This window comes from Homo sapiens, chromosome 2 (assembly GCF_000001405.40).
Source record: "Homo sapiens chromosome 2, GRCh38.p14 Primary Assembly".
In the NCBI taxonomy this organism is placed as follows: Eukaryota; Metazoa; Chordata; class Mammalia; order Primates; family Hominidae; genus Homo; species Homo sapiens.
Genome location: NC_000002.12, coordinates 226,137,026 through 226,150,613, shown reverse-complemented (window position 1 = coordinate 226,150,613; position 13,588 = coordinate 226,137,026). Strand labels below are relative to the sequence as shown.

General features: G+C 36.8%; 1 long non-coding RNA gene across 1 annotated transcript in view; it reads right to left on the bottom strand.

Moving 5' to 3' along the window:
- LOC646736 (uncharacterized) overlaps positions 1 to 7,820 on the bottom strand; it is a 37,269-nt gene extending 29,449 nt beyond the window's left edge. The window contains exons 1-2 of the long non-coding RNA NR_046102.1: positions 7,647 to 7,820; positions 4,890 to 5,007 (exon numbers count right to left, since the gene is read on the bottom strand). This is a non-coding gene — a long non-coding RNA (uncharacterized LOC646736). The remainder of the gene's footprint in view (positions 1 to 4,889; positions 5,008 to 7,646) is intronic.
- Positions 7,821 to 13,588: the final 5,768 nt, after the last annotated feature.

The window sequence follows — 13,588 nt, the reverse complement described above, 5'->3', positions numbered from 1 at the left end:
TGGATTGTCCAATGTCCAGGTGACTACCCCTCGCCCAGTTAGAACCACTGAAATAAAGAGATAAAAGTACTCAAAAAGCAGTTAAAAGACATGGAATTAAGATGGGAAACCACAACAAAGTTTTAGAAGTTGCTCCACCAGAAGATTCTAGAAGAAATGGCAGAAGAGGAATATTGGCAGACATTTTCTGTAATTGAAGAAAAAGTAAGCCCTTAGATTAAAATAGATTCCATCTAGAGAAGAATAAATACAAATAAATCTAAACTTCACACCAGACTAAACTATAGATCATTGAGCATACACAAATAATAGTAATGTTATTAAAAAGCATAACGGATTTCCTAAAAAACTATTACAATCAGATGCAGCAAGCTTCTCATTAACAAAGTTTTCCAAATGACAAAGAGACTATAATCCACAAATTCTATGTAGTGCTAAACTGTTAATTAGAGAAGATAGATAGATAGATAGACAGATAGTTTTTTTTTTTTTTTTTTTTTCAGGCATATAAAGAGTAGAAAGTCACTACCTACTGGTCTTTTCTGTTTTTCTTTTTTTTTTTTTTTTGAGACGGATTCTCACTGCAAGCTCTGCCTCCTGGGTTTTACACCATTCTCCTGCCTCAGCCTCCCGAGTAGCTGGGACTACAGGCACCCGCCACCATGCCCGGCTAATTTTTTGTATTTTTAGTAGAGATGGGGTTTCACTGTGTTAGCCAGGATGGTCTGGATCTCCTGACCTCGTGATCCGCCCGCCTCTGCCTCCCAAAGTTCTGGGATTATAGGCGTGAGCCACCGCACCCGGCCCCTATTGGTCCTTTCTAACGTAAATACCAAAAAGAAAAATCAGAGAAAAGGAGGTAAGCAAAGATATTGTAAACCATATTTATAAATATCACCAATGATGTTAAAATAATTCATCTTGATCAATTTTGCATTTAGCCTTCTGACAATAATAACAGAAATAAAGTTTTTAAGAGAATGTGTAAAAGGAGCAGTCTGAGAAACATTAAGGAAAAGGATCAAAATACTGAATAGATTTTGTTGGAATAATTTGAGTTAAGTGTGTATTTAAAATTGATAGTGAAACTAAATACTAAAAAATATAATTTTATCTCGAAACAAAAAAGAAATAAAAGAAATATTATTAATAAAATAGATACTAGGGAGGTAGAAAATGAAAGAGGTAGTAAAAAGAAAACACACCATAAAATGGTGAGAATAATTTCAAAGTACTAGTTATCACACTAAATATTGTCCTAATCTATTGAAGGGCAAAGATTATCTGGATTAAATACATTAAACAGTAGTCAGCTTTGTACTTAATGGTCAACCACTAGCCGTGTTCTTCTAAAAGAGAAAAGGTTATCAATACTAAAGCTACTATTTAATATTGTTTATATACTAGTGGTATTAATATATTTGCTACGTTTGGACATCCCAACTCAAAGATTGATAATATATCTACATAAAAAACTAAATGATTGTATAACTTAAAAGAATCACAAAGTTTTGTTGTTGTTGTTGTTGTTGTTTACTTGTTTGTTTGCTTGCTTGTTTGTTTTTTGAGATGGAGTCTTGCTCTCTAGACCAGGCTGGAAAGTGCAGTGGAACAATCTCGGCTCACTGCAACCTCTGCCTCCTGGTTCAAGCAATTCTCCTGCCTCAGCCTCCCAAGTAGCTGGGACTACAGGCACGTGCCACCACGCCTGGCTAATTTTTGTATTTTTAGTAGAGACAGGCTTTCACTATGTTGGCCAAGCTGGTCTCGAACTCCTGACCTCATGATCTGCCCGCCTCAGCCTCCCAAAGTGTTGGGATTACAGGTGTGAGCCACCGCACCCGGCTACAAAGTTTTTAATATATAAACCTATTCCTTATATTTGGTTTGTATCCTGAATTCCAACCTGTTACACTGTCTACACAAAAAAAGGTGGGAATAGATTCTCTCTCCCATTCTGCTAGGTTCCTTTTTTCCCGTCCTGTTTTATGATGAAAATTTGCAAACATGTAGAAAAGTTGAGAGAATTTCAGAAGGGACACCCATATGCCCACTAACTAGTCTCTACAATTAATGTTTTGCTATACTTGTTTTTATTACACATCTATCTCTCCTTCCTTTTCTGAAAATGTATTTGAAAATAAGTTGTAGACTTTAGTACATGTTATAAATACTTCAGCATACGTATCATTAGAATTCAATATTTATTTATGGGTTTTCTTCTTTTCAAGTAATATGTACATACAATAAAATACTCAAATCATGCGACCACTTGATTACCTGAGAAAACAACCTGCTATTAATAAACAAAACATGACCGTCACTCCAGAAAGTTCCTTCATGTTCCTTCCCAATAAATCTTTACCCCCATTTCCACAGAAGCATTCATTGTTCTGATTGTTTTACACCATGAATTAGTTTTGCCTAATCTAGAAGTTTATACAGGTAGAATCATAGTGTATGTTAGTGTGTAAGACTTCTTTTGCTCCATATAAGGCTTTGGCAATTCATCCATGTTATTGTATATATCAGTAATTTATTATTTTTATTGCTGTCTAATATCCCACTGTAAAAGCATATTTTATTTATCCAATGTCCTATTGTTGGGTATCTAGGCTGTTTCTTTTTGGGGATTATTACAAATAAGGCTCCAATAAATGATTTTGTACAAGCCTGTTTGTGGAAATACATTTCTTTGGAATCACCAAGTCTTACACTACAGGTTGATCCACTTTTTTTAAGATGCTAAGGGAGCTTTTTCTAAAATTGCAGGATTTTCACTGCCATCAACAATATGTGAAAGTTCTGGTGGCCACAAGTCTTCATCAACCTTTAACATTATTTCTCTTTTGATTTTAGCTACTTCAGTGGATATTTGATATCTCATTGGGGTTTCAATTTGAATTTTCCTAATATCTAATAATATTCAGTGCTTTTTCATGTGCTTATTGGTTGTTTATAAATTAGCCTCTTTTGTGCATATGTTCAAATCTTTTTTCCATTTTTTTCTTTTTATGATTGCCTTATAAACTTTATTATTTTTTGTTTCTGAAAATGTATGCTAGTTACCAGTCCTAAGTCAGGTGTGTAAACTTCAAGTATGTCTCAGTCTACAGCTTGCCTGTTCATTTACTTGATGTCTTTAGATGAACCAAAGTTGTTAATTTTTTAAAAATACAATTTATATGTATTTTTATTTCATTGATATTGTTTTCTATGATTTTTAAAGAAACTTTTCTCTATTTGGAATCCACAAAAATATACTATTTTTAAAAACTTATAGTTTTAGCTATTATGTTGAGATGGATTCGAGAATCCATCTCAAATTAATGTTTGTACATGGTGTGAGATAGGGGTCAAAGTTTACTTTTTAATTTGCATAGCGTATTGTTCCAGGATCATTTGTTTAAAAGCTTTTCCTTTTCTCGTAGGATTGTTGTGTCCCTGTGGTGAATATCAAATGATCATATAATGTGAATATATTTCTGGGCTCTCTATTTTATTTCATTGATGTATTTGTTGATTCTTTGCCAGCGCTACACTGTTTTTATTATGGTGGCCTTATAGTAAGTCTTGAAATAGGGCTGTATAAAAGACTTTTGAGTTAATTGTTAGTTAAAATACATACAGTATATAAAAAACATAATGAAGGGACCATGTTCATTTAATGTATTTCTTACAAATTAAAACTGATAGGGAAATAAAATGAACTAAAGGCATTAACAGATAAATCAGAGAAAAATACATCACACACACCCAAAACACACACACATGACCATCTTACTTTCAATAAAAAATGAGCTACTACTTCACATATTCAAAAATGGCCATGTTTTTAAGTGAGTATATTCAGTCTTGATTAGAATGTATATATAGCTAATTGGAACAATAATTTGGTGTTATTTACCTGGATGCAACATTGCAATGTGTATATGAAGATTGAAAAAATTAGAAAGACTTGTCTTTTGACCCAGCAACTCCATTTTCTGTACTCATTTCCAGTGAGGGAGAGAGAAATTCATATATAAGAATTTTCATTGAATTTTTTATAATTTAGAAAATAAGGAACAATCTAAAGTAGAGGAATGATTTTGTTAGAAATAGTACATCAGGCCGGGCGCGGTGATGCCTGTAATCCCAGCACTTTGGGAGGCCGAGGCAGGTGGATCACAAGGTCAAGAGATCAAGACCATCCTGGCCACACATGGTGAAACCCCATCTCTACTAAAAATACAAAAATTAGCTGGACGTGGTGGTGCGCGCCTGTGGTCCCAGCTACTCGGCAGGCTGAGGCAGGAGAATTGCTTGAACCCAGGAGGCAGAGGTTGCAGTGAGCCGAGATCGCACCACTGCACTCCAGCCTGGTGACAGAGTGAGATTCCGTCTCAAAATGGTACAACAACTAATGTCAAATATCATTCTGCCATTAAAATATCAGGCTTTAGAGAAATATTATAGACCTAAGAAAATGAAATAAGCAGGATTAAAAATGTATGGTTAATATAATCCTAACTTTCTCAAATAAGAAAATTTATACACAGAAAAGAAAAGTTACCATAAAAGAAATTATTTCAGGAATTTAACCATTACTTATTTGATATTGGCTACTTCTGGACAGTAAGATGCAATATGAATTTTATCATCTACTTTATGGTTTTCTGTTTCTCTTGCATTTCATAATGAATATTTATTTTTACGATTAAATATAAACATTCTTTAAAAGCTTAATTGGTGGCCGAGTGCAGTGACTTATGCCTGTAATCTCAGCACTTTGGGAGGCCGAGGTGGGTGGATCACGAGGTCAGGAGATTGAGACCATCCTGGCCAACATGGTGAAATCCCCGTCTCTACTAAATATACAAAAATTAGCTGGGCTTGGTGGCACATACCTGTAATCCCAGCTACTTGGGAGGCTGAGGCAGGAGAATCGCTTGAACCAGGGAGTCGGAGGTTGCAGTGAGCTGAGACGGTGCCAGTGTATTCCAGCCTGGGCAACAGAGTGAGACTCTGTCTCAAAAAAAAAAAAAAAAAAAGTCTAATTGGTTTAAGAAGTAACAAACTACAGTGGGAACACCGTCTTAGTTCAGGTTACTGTAACAAATTATCATAGACCAGATGGGTATAAACGGAAGAAATTTATTTCTCACAGTTTTGCAGTGTGAAAGTCCAAGGTCAGAGTACTGGCATGCTCAGGTTCTGGTGAGGGCTCTTTTTCCAAATTGGAGACTAATGAGTTGTCGTAACCTCACGTGGTGGAAGGAACCAGCTAGCTCTCTGGTCTCTTCCTATAAAGGTACTAATGCGATTCATGAGGGCTCCAGCCTCATGTCCTGGTTATCTTCCAACAGCTCCCAATCCAAATACAGTCATAATGAGATGAGGGGTTCAACACACAAATTTTGGGGGCACACTAACATTCACTATATTGCAAACATATGTCCTCAGAAAATCTCTGAAAACAGAGCAAGTCATAACTTATGGATGAAAGAATAGAGGTGTACCAGAAAGAGAAAGGTCCCGCACTAGAAAGCTAAGCAAGGGAGAGCACAGTTTGACACGTAGGATCTTGCCTCTTTGTCTTGGCTATTTCTGCTGTTCAACACTGCATCTTTGGATAATTTCCAAATAACCAGACCATTCAACTAACCTGGATGATCCTGTAAGACAACAGAGTTAGCAGTTCTTCACACTCCTTGCTATTCCATGCATCTGCACAGAGAAGCAGAAGCCAATAACCTCCTGAACTTATGCATTTGTTTCATCTTAATGTAATAATTTTAGTGCCCTTTGAACCAGTGGCATACAGTCAGAATATGTATGTTTATTTAATGCTGACTGTATATCAGTTACATTGTGAGATCTTTGGGGGTTCACAGATGAAGGTGGCATGAGTAGAATCAGCATCCACTCTAGCTGCTTCCAGCATAACCAGGGTGAGGTGCTCCAGCAGGCCCTGGAGCTGTTTCCAGTGTGCCAGGTCTGCTCTAAGAGAATCAGTCCACTGGCCGAATCTGAAACTTTGGCAGCTTCCTGGTGCCAAGAGTAATGTAGCATTGTGTATGTCACTGGAGAGTGTAAGAAACAATGTTTAATTCAGTTATAAATTATTCTAGCAATAAGCATTCGCTTATAATGACCTGTAACCAAAGCAAACTTTTTTTTCTCAACCTGTTTTTTTGTTGTTGTTGTTGTTTGTTTGTTTTTTCAGCCATTAATATGATACCTTGGTTAGATAATCCAGATTCAGTCAGGTTAGTGACCTGGGCATATAATTGGGAGAACTGAAGATGCATGATTGTGATGGTTGATACTGAGTGTCAACTTGATTGGATTGAAGGATACAAAGTACTGATCCTGGGTGTGTCTGTGAGGGTGTTGCCAAAGGAGATTAACATTTGAGTCAGTGGGCTGGGAAAGGCAGACGCACCCTCAGTCTGAGTGGGCATAATCTAATTGGCTGCCAGTACAGCTAGAATATAAGCAGGCAGAAGAATGTGAAAAGAGAGACTGGCCTAGCCTTCTTTCTCCCATGCTGGATGCTTCCTGCCCTCAAACATCTGACTCCAAGTTCTTCAGTTTTGGAACTTGGACTGGCTCTCCTTGCTCCTCAGCCTGCGGATGGCCTATTGTGGGACCCTGTGATTATGTGAGTTAATAGTAAATAAACTCATATATATATATATATATATATGTGTGTGTGTGTGTGTGTATATATATGTGTATATATGTGTGTATATATATGTATATATATGTGTATATATATGTATATATATATGTGTGTGTGTATATATATATATATATATATATGTATGTATTCCATTAATTCTGTCCCTCTAGAGAACTCTGACTAATACAATGATTAAATATATAATTGACTTCTTTAGAACTGGGCTAATTTTGATCAGGTGTTTTCTGTGTTTTAAAAATCCAGTTAACACACACTAACAGCTACTTGGGAGGCTGAAGCAGGAGGACTGTTTGAGCCAGGAGTTCAAGGCTTCAGTGAGCTATAATTGCTCCACTGTACTCTGGCTTTGGTGACAGAGCAAGACCCTTTCTCTAAATAAATAAAATAAAATAAATAAAAATGTATGTGATTATTATGCATTGCATTCCTATATCAAAACATCTCAATAAATATGTACACCTACTATGTCCCCACAACAATAAAAAAATTAAAAATTTAAAAAATTCAATTAACACATCTGTTTTATAAACATAAGCATGGACAAAATCTATAAAAATAAGTAAATATTCTGGAGAGTCATGCACAGATGTAGCAGTTCACATGGGAACAGGAAACAAATTCCAATTTATCTAACTTCCTCTCACCCCGTGGAAGGTGCTAAACCATAGTCAGAGCTCTGGGCTGTGAAGAGAAAATTGATTTCAGTTTTCGAATTCAAAAGAAGAAAAATAATTTGATCTTAATTTTAGTGACTGGATGAAAATAAGGCAATACAAAGTATAAAATACTAGTGAGGCCTCATTTATAATTTGACAGACAACCTGTAGGGAAACACATTGCTCCTTTTGATTCTCAAATGCAAAAAAGGATACACTGGGTGCCTTGAGTTGGTCAAATTATCTCATGCAAAGTGTCATGTATTAAGCCACAGTGGTTTAAACACTAAGGCTCCACTCACCATCTGAAGAACCTGGAGGTATCTTCTTCTTTGGAATGTTCATGTGCTCACATGGTTCCGGGATATTGGCAAAATCAAAAGGAGTAACCTTCAACACTGACATTCTTTTATATTTTCATCTTATTTTTACGCTGGGGTGGACTTGTTCATTCCTCTTCCACCCCCAGTCAGAGTGAAGCTCTCCCAGTTTTGCAGACAGAGTCTCTCTCCCACTTGGTCATACCATCTGTTTCCACATTGCAGTTTACTCTACATGAATACCAGGTAGCAGACAGGATTTTGCCCAATAGCAAGTACAGCAAAAAGTCTTTCACAGGCTCCTCACAATCTGTGAACATATGATCAGTCTAGGATAACACATTGTACTAAAAATATACCAGAGAAATGTTCATGTGGTAATAAACAAGGAACCTGAATCAAGGAGGAAACATGCCATGAGCTTCTGAAGTGTATATTTCTCTGTGTACCAGAATGATGATGGTCTGTCAATGGGAGATGACTGGATCAACTAATGTTTGTTTCTTTATTGCAAGTGTTAATGTACATTTAACAGTGTGGACATAGTGTGTTTGGTCTAAAACCCAAACTGTGAGTTAAATGAGAGACAGTCTACAAGTATTTATCATGAGGTGGTTGGTTTGATAAACAGAAATATATGTAATTTCCATGATAATTTCTGAAACTGCACAGTGACATGATAAGGAATATCTCAGCAAGTCTGAGAGCACAAATTTAAAAGAAAAAAGATGGTGTCCTATATTTTATGCTGCATCATTCTTTCCTTATTAGCTATATCATCATTTTAATAGAACTTGACAATACTCCCCAAATGTTAGATATCTATATTATAGAGACCTTATGAAGACTGATTGTCAGCTCATGCAGAAAAGACTTGTGCGGACTTTTAGTATCTCATTTTATTACTGGATTCTGGAAACTGATTTTCTGTGCTTCGAATTTGTAACTTGCTTTAATTTATCTGATAGTCATAATACATTTTTATTATTTAGCTAAGTTGAACTTTATCTCATATTGTACCTGTTCCTCACCTCTCTTATTTTCATTTCTATTTGCTAGGGGAGGATGGGAATGGGAAGTCAGATGTCTTCTTAGATTGGGCAAATGATTATGTCTGGGATTGAATTGCACAATATAGATGTGGATCTAAATTCTGCATCTGCATTTGGTACAACCATTTTGGTTCTCATACTAATCATAAATGTTTAGAACTCCAGGTGGTATCTGCTCCCCTTGGTGCTTGAAAGCAATGGGAGGTAGTAGCGATAACAACACGCTAAACATCAGAAGGCTGGTGTTCACACTTGGGCCTTCCCTTCTGTGACTATATGGCTTTGAACCACTGATTTAAAGTCTATATGCCTCATCTATAAAATTTGGAAAACAATACACATGCCACTGTGCTGTGCTCCAATAAAACGCCTGGTCCATAACATCCCTTTTTTGTATCTGTATAATCAGTTGACACAAATAACATATTCCTCACTGTCTTCCAGTTCACTGTTTTACGTATGGATCTAACACAGTGTGATGGGTTCATGGTTCCAGAGGCCTGATTAAATTTGGCCTCATTTACTAGCTGGGTGATGAGAACCTGTCAGTTGAATTGTTGTGAGGATTAAACATATATTAAAATAGTATCTAACATATAATAAGTGGCTTATTAAGATTGTTGTTTTTACCATGTATAAATGAAGATTTGGAAGTATTGCTTCCACAGGACTGGTCACTTTGTTTCTTCAGATCATCCTCAAGCATTGATTGTGCAAAAAGAAATCTTTCTCTAGCTCCCATGGGTAAAGATTTCAACCAGTCCTCTGTTGTCTCTGCATGCTGCTCACGTATTCATTCCATCACATTTCATTGTGAATATCAATTGTCAGGTCTGTTTTCTCCACTGGACTTTCAGCTACTCAAAGACAAGGGCATACATATTCTTTTATTTCTCTCAGTGTCATTGGATCCAGGTTTTGCTGGCAAACAAATACCTGATAAATGCTAGTTTGATATAATCGTGATTGAATGGAAGAAACTGATTTATTCTTTTATGTTTCCCCTATAAAAGTATGTTCTTAATCTGTGATCCATGGATGTGCCTGGGCTGGTGGGTGTTTGTGAGCCATCTCACGTTGTTTGCAAAATTTGTTACCTTATACATTTGTCTAGGAAAAGGGTCCAAAGTTTCATCAGCTTCCTGGGGCAGCCTGTGGCCTTGAATAGATTAGGAACCATTCATAGAGAAGTTCCTTATATTCTTTCTAAGAACATCATTGTCTAAAAATCATGAAGCTTTTAAAATAATAATTGACTCAGTTCACTTTGCCATTTGCCTTAGACATTTGCCACTCTCTGTACTTGCTTCTTCAGTTTAATTCAATGTCTGCTGCCTAAAAAAATGCAAGCAGCTGCTGTGAAAATTATATATGCAATATCTGTCCATGAGAATGTAATATGGTCAATCAGATTCCTTTAACAAGTGATTTGGTTCTCATGTCAGCATATTGCCATATCTTGAAAATTGAGTGATAATCAATCATTATTATATCTGGAAGATAAAATTGACTTCAGCCCGTGAAGCCCAAGTGTCACCTAATGTTTCTCCTGTCCCCCATCCTGCCTACTGAGAAAGAAGTAGCAGAGAGGCAAATAACAAAGCAGAAGTTTGACTGATTTCTAGCATATGCAATATTTTAATTATTTCTTATTTAAATACAATTAGCCTTCAAAAAGCTACCCAAACCTGTGGAGAAAATGAGAAATATTTGGATCTGTTAACCAATGAGCAATTATAAGATTTCTATCAATTATGTTGTAGCCACTAGAATGAAATCTGAGTTGATGTAACAAGGAGACCCAAAGATCATGGTTCAGCAAAACAGAAGTTTATTTTGTGTCTCTTCATGGCACAGAGCAGGAAGGTGGCTTCTATTTCAGGAAGCCATGCTTTGGACAGAAAGGCAGTTCTGTCATCTCCAATGTAGCTTCCAAGGGAACTCTCTTGTTCTCATTTTCAGCTAGCAGAAAGACAAGTGAAGAGTGGTTTCAGAGCAAGTGTTTTCTAAGGAAGTAAGGCAGAAGCTACACATTTGACTTCTGCTCATATCCCATTGATGAGAATTTAGTTGCATGGCCACACCTCACTACCAAGAGGCAGGAAGATGTGGTGTGCCTAAGCAACTCAGCACCCAGATATACACTAGTACTCTGGAAAAAGCAGAACAGATTTTAGTTGGACAAATAACAGTCTATGTTGGACATACAGAATTAGAATTTAGACACATGCATCAAAAACGAGTTCTTCTTACCTCTTCCTTCTGGAAGGAACAGTATTCATTCCATTTTGAATGCTATGACCAAAAGTATTCATCTTTTGGTCCAAACTCAAAATGGTTTTACTGTCCCAGAAGAATGTGAAAGACAGAAAGTAACAGAGCATAGGTTTGGGCTTCAGCAGGATAGACAAAAAAGAATGGTCAGGACCCAGAGATAAGAAAGCTCCATTTGACAAGATAGAGGATCCAGAAAGATCCAGGTGTGAGATAGTAGAGAGGATAAGAAAGGGCTCTGATGACAAGAAGTAGAGACAAAGCAATGGAGTTTCATGTACATGTCTGTACCTCCCTCAAACTCTGGGAAGAGCACGCTTGGAGCTGGTCATGGGAACCAGAGCAACAGGTAGAAAGTTCTGGAAGAAAATGCCTGGCTCCTAGAACCCTGATACGTGGTCACGAAGAATAAAGCAAAGGTCTATTCACTAGAATCAGGATGAAAAGAGCGACTTAGCTACAAAAGAGATGAATAAAGAGTGGCTCAGCTAAACATGTAGATTGTTGTTATTTATTATTCTTAGGAGTTTAATAAGGTCTCATGGACTAGAGCAAGTTAAACCTGCAGGTGTCATTGAAATACACCCAGCTATGGTTTTGAGGTGCTAGGAGCAGCCAAGGAGTTAAACCATCTTAGCTTCTTGAATATAATGGAACGAAACTCCTAGTCATATTATCTCCTTAAATAAAACTGAATAAAACTCTAATCTCTTGATTATTTTTAAGAATGAACAGCTGCTTTTTAGATAGGAAGCCAAAGACTATATAAATTAGAAAAAGAATCAAAGTCAAAAAGATTTTTAAGGAGAGAGAAGAAAATGACAGTTAAGTGATTAGAACCCTGTTATAAAAATCAGTAAGGGGTACAGAGTGTCACTCAGGGAAGATGAAAAAGTTCTGGCAATGGTTTGTAGTAGTGGTTGCACAAAATATATACATATTTAATGCCACTGAATTGTATGCCTAAAAATGGTGAAAATACCCGGGTGCGGTGGCTCACGTCTGTAATCCCAGCACTTTGGGAGGCCAACGCGGGTGGATCACCTGAGGTCAGGAGTTCGAGACCAGCCTGGCCAACATGATGAAACCCTGTCTCTACTAAAAAAGTACAAAATTAGCCAGGCATGGTGGCACATGCCTGTAATCCCATCTATACGGGAGGCTAAGGCAGGAGAATCATTTGAACCCGGGAGGCAGAGGTTGCAGTGAGCCAAGATTGCGCCATTGCACTCCAGCATGGGCAACAAGAGCAAAACTCCATCTCAAGAAAAAAGGAAAAAAAAAAGTTAAAATGATAAATTCTAATTCTCTTTTACTAGAATAAAAACAATGTTTTAAAATTAAGAATTGAAAAAAATTAAAATAATGAATAGAGTGTAAAGCAATTATGGTATTTAAAAATTTGCATATGTCAATTATTAAGTGAAAAGAACACAGCTTTCAATGGGCCTATATGTTGAATATAAATATTTTACCATTTTCTCCTGTCTTAGACCATTTACTGGATCTTGAAATTTTCATTGTTAAAGTTAAGGTAAAAAAAAAAAAAGTAATATGAAGCAAAAATACATAAATTTAATTAAAGAAAATAAATATGTGAGACTGTGACATACAGGAGAGCAACAAGAAAACCCAGCCTCAGCCACATGTTCCAGAAGAGCCTCCAATCTGTGCAGGCTCCTGAACTGGCCACCCTGATCACCCACTACTTTCTACCAGGCGGGCTCTTTTCCCAGTTCTATTTTAGAAAAGAATTAGATGTCTAGACACCTTCTTACATTCCTGTTACCAAAACAAGTTGAGAGATGTTTACATATTTTTAAATGCTAGAGACTACAGATAGAGAGCCTTCTCTGCCCACACCTGTGGTCAGTGGGCAACCTGGAACATGATCCCTCATCACTGCTCCCTGCTACTCATAACCTTGTGTACTGATCTTTGTTTGAGCATGAATTGGACCTGTGACTCGCTCCAAATTAAAACAATGCAGCAATATTGATGACATCATCAACCTTAAAAGATGAGATTTGGGAAATATGACTAAGTATAAAGTTTATTTGAGTGCAGAGCTTAAGAGTAGCCACCTGGGAAACACAGACTCCAAAAGAATGGGTCAGCATTCCAAGGTGGGGAAAGTAAGGTTTCATTTATATAGGCGAAGACAGAGAAGCTTAACAAGGTTGCAGCATTTTTCAAAACAGGTTAGTACATGTGTTATAGTGATTTGATTGGTTACATTCGGAGGAAAACTGCCTTAACTTTCTGTAGGGAGGGGTAATGGTTTTGATGGGTCTTATCTCTGGTGCCGTTCAGCCTTTCCTAATCATTTACAGGGCAAGAATGAGGAAGAGATATGATCTATAATCAGAAAAGCAGAACTTGCAGCTTCATGCTTTGTGACTCAGGCCACATAGCCACATTCCTCTTAAGGTTTAAAATAATTTAAAGTTCCAACAGCTTTAAGTTTGAATTATTTAATTTCACAGGATGAAACTAACAAGAATAGGCTACAAAATATGGTGAATTCTACCTTGAGTTTCCTTTCTCACTCTCTTGATGGCTCATTACAGTGGAAGCCAGCTGCCAAGTTGTGAGTTT